General features: G+C 42.0%; 1 annotated feature.

Annotated features, from left to right (window-relative positions):
- Positions 3,246-3,412: a silencer, noted in NCBI's record as "fragment chr18:12734331-12734497 (GRCh37/hg19 assembly coordinates)". NCBI's record gives its function as "represses an EF-1alpha promoter that drives an FKBP-Casp9 reporter gene in an ReSE screen in phorbol 12-myristate 13-acetate-treated (for megakaryocytic differentiation) K562 erythroleukemia cells {active_cell/tissue: K562(+PMA)}" and the evidence as "EXISTENCE:reporter gene assay evidence [ECO:0000049][PMID:32094911]".

Raw genomic sequence — 5,728 nt, forward strand, 5'->3', positions numbered from 1 at the left:
TCAGACTTCACAGAATTGAAAAAGAGGTACAGCCTTGCTCTGGGGTAGGCTTTTGCTTCAGAAAATGTTGTGGATGGTTTGCTCTTCTATTCAGACCACTAAACTCTCCACATCAGCAATGAGGAGGCTGTTTTGCTATCATTTGCGTTCACTGGAGTAGCACTTTTTTTGTTTTTGTTTTTGAGACAGAGTCTCACTTTGTTGCCCAGGCTGGAGTGCAGTGGCACAATCTTGGATCATGGCAACCTCTGCCTCCCGGGTTCAATCGATTCTCCCACCTCAGCCTCCTGAGTAGCTGGGACTGCAGGCATGCACCACCACGCCCAGCTAATTTTTTTTGTATTTTCAGTAGAGATGCGGTTCGGCCATTTTAGCCAGGCTGTTCTTGAAATCCTGACCTCAGATGATCCTCCCGCCTCGGCCTCCCAAAGTGCTGGGATTACAGGCATGAGCCACCGTGCCCGGCCTGGAGTAGCACTTTTAATTTCCTTCAAAAACTTTTTCTTTGCCTTCACAACTTGGCTAGCTGTTTGATAGAAGAGGCTTAGTTTTGGGCCTATCTGAGCTTTTGAATGCCTTCCTCAATAAGCTTAATCATTTTTAGCTTTTGATTCAAAGTGAGAGACTTGTGACTCTTCCTTTCACTTGAACACTTAGAGGCCACTGTAGGGTTATTAATAGGCCTCATTTCAATATTGTTGTATCTCAGGAAATAGGGAGGCCCAAGGAGAGGGAAAGAAAAGGGAGAACAAATGGCTGGTTGGTGGCGCAGTCAGAACACACACATTTATCAGTTAAGTTCTTTATCTTACATGGGTGCAATTTGCGGTGCTCCAAACCAATTACAACAAGTAACATCAAAGATCACTGATCACAGATTACCATAACATATAATAATAATGGGAAAGTTTGAAATATCTTGAGAATTACCAAGATGTGACACAGAGACCCAAAGTAAGTACATGGTGTTGAAAAAAACGGCACAATAGAACTTTCTTGACACAGAATTGCCACAAAACTTCAGTTTGTGAAAAAGCACAATAGCTGTGAATAGCACAATAAAGTGAGGGGCAATACAATGAGGTGTGCCTGTACTAGCAACCCAAATTCAACAGTACATTAACAGGATCATATACCATGACCAAAAGCAATTCATCCCTGGATGTGAGGATGGTTCAACATATGGAAATGAATAAATGCACTACAACACCTTAACAGAAAAAGGACAAAGATCATATGTCAATTCACGCAGAACAAGCACTTGACAAAACTCAACTCCCTTCCAATGCAAAACAATCAATGAACTAGGACTCCAGGGAAATTACTTCAACCTTGGTAGTCAAGGTCATATATGAAATGCCCACAGCTAAAGTCATACTCAATGGTGAAAAACTGAACGCTTTCCATTCTTACCAATTTTATTCAATGTAGTTCTTAAGTCCTAGCCAGAGAAATATACAAGAAAAAGAAATAAAAATGCATCTAGATTGGAAAAGAAGCAAAATGTTGTCTGTTAGCAGAGGACATGAACTCATATGTAAAAAACCCTTAAAATTCCATGAAATGTTAAAACTAATAAATGAATTCAGCAAAATTGCAGGATACAAAATCAACATTCCAGCATCAGTTGTGTTTCTGTACACAATGAACAATCCAATAAATAAATAAAGAACATCCCGTTTACAATAGCATAAAAGAGAATAAAATAAGTTGGGCATGGCGGCTCATACCTGTAATCCCAGCACTTTGGGAGGCCAAGGCAGGCAGATCATGAGGTCAAGAGATTGAGACCATCCTGGCCAACATGGTGAAACCCCATCTCTACTAAAAATACAAAGTTAACTGGGCGTGGTGGCGCGAGCCTGTAGTCCCAGCTATTTGGGAGGCTGGGGCAGAAGAACCGCTTGAACCGGAGAGGCAGAGGTTGCAGTGTCCGAGATCACGCCACTGCACTCCAGCCTGGTGACAGAGCGAGACTCCGTCTCAAAAAACAAAAAAAAACAAAAAAAAAAGAGAGAATAAAATAGTAATAAACTAAACCAAGGAGGCAAAAGAGTTATATAATGAAAATGATAAGACATTGCTGAAAGAGATTAAAGAAGACACAAATAAATAGAAATACATCTCATGTTCATGGATTGGAAGACTTAGTATTGATAAGCTGTCCATACTACCTGAAGCAGTCTACAGATTCAACGCAATCTGTATCAAAATCTCAATGGCTTTTTTTTTTGCAGACACAGAAAAAAAATCCTAAATTCATATTGAATCTAAAAGGACCCCAAATAACCTTGAAAAAGAACAAAGCTGGAGACCTCACGCTTCCTGATTTCAAAGCATATTACAATGTTAGAGTAATTGAAACAATATGGTACTGGCATAAAGACAGACATATAGACCAATGGAACAAAATACAGAGCCCAGAACAAAATACAAGGCATATTACAAAGCTATAGTAATTGAAACAATATGGAATTGGCATAAAGACAGACATATAGACCAATGGAACAAAATACAGAGCCCAGAAATAAACCCTCATGTTTACTGTCAAAGATCTTCAACTAAGATGCCAAGACTACACAATGAAGAAAGGATAGCTCTTCAACAAATGATGCCGCGAAAATTGCATATCCACGTAGGAAAGAAAAAAATGGGCCCTTAATCTACATCATATACAAAAATTAATTCAAAATGAATTAAAGACCTAAACCTAAGACCTGAAACTACGAAACTAAAAGAAAACATAGGGGAGAAACTTCATAACATTAGGAGAAGGGCAATGATTTCTTGGCTATGACACCAAAGGCACAGGTAACAAAATATAAAATAGACAAATGGGACTACATCAAAAACTTCTGCACAGCAAAGAAAACAACACAGTGAAAAAGAAACCTACAGAATGGGAGAAAATACTTGAAAATCATTTATCTGATAAAGGGCTAACATCCAGAATATATATTTTTAAATGTTCAAGGGATACCTCGTTTACCCTGATATTATTATTATACATTATATTCTCGTATCAAAATGCGAGTATCATATATATATATATATATATATATATATATATATATATATATATGCCTACTATGTACCCATAAAAATTAAAAATTTTTTAAAAATGGGCTGGGCGGGGTGTCTCACACCTGTAATCCCAGCACTTTGGGAGGCCGAGGCAGGCGGATCACCTGAGGTCAGGAGTTCAAGACCAGCCTGGCCAACATGGCAAAACCCTGTATTTACTGAAAATACAAAACTTAGCAGGGCATGGTGGCACGTGCTTGTAATCCAAGCTACTTGGGAGGCTGAGGCACGAGGACTGCTTGAACCCAGGAGGTGGATGTTGCAATGAGCTGAGATCATGCCACTGTACTCCCGCCTGGGCAGCAGCATGAGGCTCCATCTGAAAATAAATAAATAAAACTAGGCCAGGAACGGTGACTCATGCCTGTAATCCCAGCACTTTGGGAGGCCGAGGCGGGCGGATCACCTGAGGTCAGGAGTTCGAGACCAGCCCGGCCAATATGGCGAAGCCCCGTTTCTACTAAAAGTACAAAAATTAGCTGGACGTGGTCGTGGGCGCCTATAATCCCAGCTACTCAGGAGGCTGAGGCAGGAGAATCATTTGAACCCAAGAGGTGGAGGTTGCAGTGAGCTGAGATCACACCACTGCACTCCAGCTTGGGCAGCAGAGCGAGACTCTGTCTCAAAATTAAATAAATAAATAAACAAAAATAAAAATATGGGCAAAGAATAGACATTTCTTCAATGAAGATATACAAGTGAGCAAGTGTATGAAAAGGTGCTCAACATCTCTAATCATCAGAGAAATGCAAACTAAAACCACATGTAGTCTGTAATCCCAGCATTTTGGGAGGCCGAGGCGGGAGGATTACAGGAATTCAAGACCAGGCTGGCCAACATGGTGAAACCCCATCTCTACTAAAAACACAAAAATTAACTAGGCGTGGTGGCATACCCCTGTAGTCCCAGCTACTTGGGCGGCTGGGGCAGAAGAATCACTTGAGCCTGGAGGCGGAGGTTGCAGTGAGCTGAGATTGCACCACTGCACTCCAGCCTGGGTGACAGAATGAGACTCCATCTCACAAAACAAAACAAAACAAAACAGGCCGGCACAGTGCCTCATGCCTGTAATCCCAGCACTGTGGGAGGCCAAGGTGGGCAGATCACCTGAGGTTAGGAGTTCGAGAGCAGCCTGGCCAACATAATAAAACCCCGTCTCTACTTAAAAAATGCACAAATTAGCTGGGCATGGTGGTGTGCACCTGTAATCCTAGTTACTCAGGAGGCTGGAGAATCACTTGAACCCGGGAGGTGGAGGTTGCAGTGAGCCGAGATCGCACCACTACACTCCAGCCTGGGCAACCGAGTGAGACTCCATCTCAAAAACAAAACAAAACAAACCACGTGAGGTATCACCTCATACCCATTAGGTTGGCCATTATTAAAAGAAAAAAATACAAGCATTGATGAAGACGTGGAGAAACTTGAACTCTTGGACACTTTTGGTGGGACTGTAAAATGGTGCACTTGCTATGGACAACAATATGGAGGTTCCTCAAAGAATTAAAATAGACATAATATAACCCAGCAATCCTACTTCTGGGGTATATGTCCAAAAGAAGCAGAATCAGGATCTCAAAGAGTTATTTGTGCACCATGTTCATTACAGTGTTATTCATAATAGCCAAGATGTAGAAGCAGCCTAAATGCCCAGGGACAGATGAATGGATAAAGAAAAGGTGGTATAACAGGTAATGGAATATTATTCAGCCTTAACAGGATGTAAATCCTGGCATATGTTATAATACGGATGAACCTTGAGGACTGTCTTAGTCCATTCAGGCTGCTATAGCAAAATACCATAAACAGGCTGGCTTATAAACAACAAAAATTTATTTCTCACAGTTCTAGAAGCTGGACCTTCAAGTTCAAGGCAGATGTGGTGTCTGTAAAGAGCCAGGCTTTCTGGCTAATAGACGGCACCTTCTCGCTGTTCCTCACATAGAAGGGGAAAGGAGTCTCTCTTGGGACTCTTTTACAAAGGCACCAATCCCAGTCATGAGGACTGCACCCCCATGACTGACCTGATCACCTTTCAAAGACCCCACCTCCTAACACCATCAACTTGGAAGGCAGTGTTTCAACAAAGGATTTCAACATAGGAATTTGGAGAGGGGACACAGACACTCAGACCATACCGTCAGGAGAAATCAAATCTTTGAACCTAAAAGATTTGGTAGCTACACCAAAAATAATGTGGTTTACTCTTAGCTTTCGTCTTCCCTTTCTTTAGGAGGTATTTTCAGTTCCCTGCGGCATATATAAAGGTACTAATGTGTGGGAATAGGGAGGAGATGACCCTAAGCCAGCCTGGCTGTTCCAGTGTGAGGAGGTGATGTCCAAGTGCAGTAAGAGTTAACAAATTGAGGGTGGGGAAGCGGGTACCGGGCAGAGAGAACCACTTGGACGGAGGCAGGGGGCCGAGAAGCAGTGCGGTGGGGTGGATGCTCAGGAGTGCGTCTCACCACTGCCTTCATCTTTGCACCCCACTGCCTAACAGCATTTGCTGAGTAAATGTCTGCTCAATGAGTAAACAATAATATATGCAGAGATTTTCATCTGAAAGAGCCCAGTGAAAATGAACAATGAGCAGAACATATTGGGCACACGGGGGTGCATTATCATTATGTGTGTGTGTTTTAAT

Source organism: Homo sapiens, chromosome 18, assembly GCF_000001405.40.
Source record: "Homo sapiens chromosome 18, GRCh38.p14 Primary Assembly".
Classification (NCBI taxonomy): domain Eukaryota; kingdom Metazoa; phylum Chordata; class Mammalia; order Primates; family Hominidae; genus Homo; species Homo sapiens.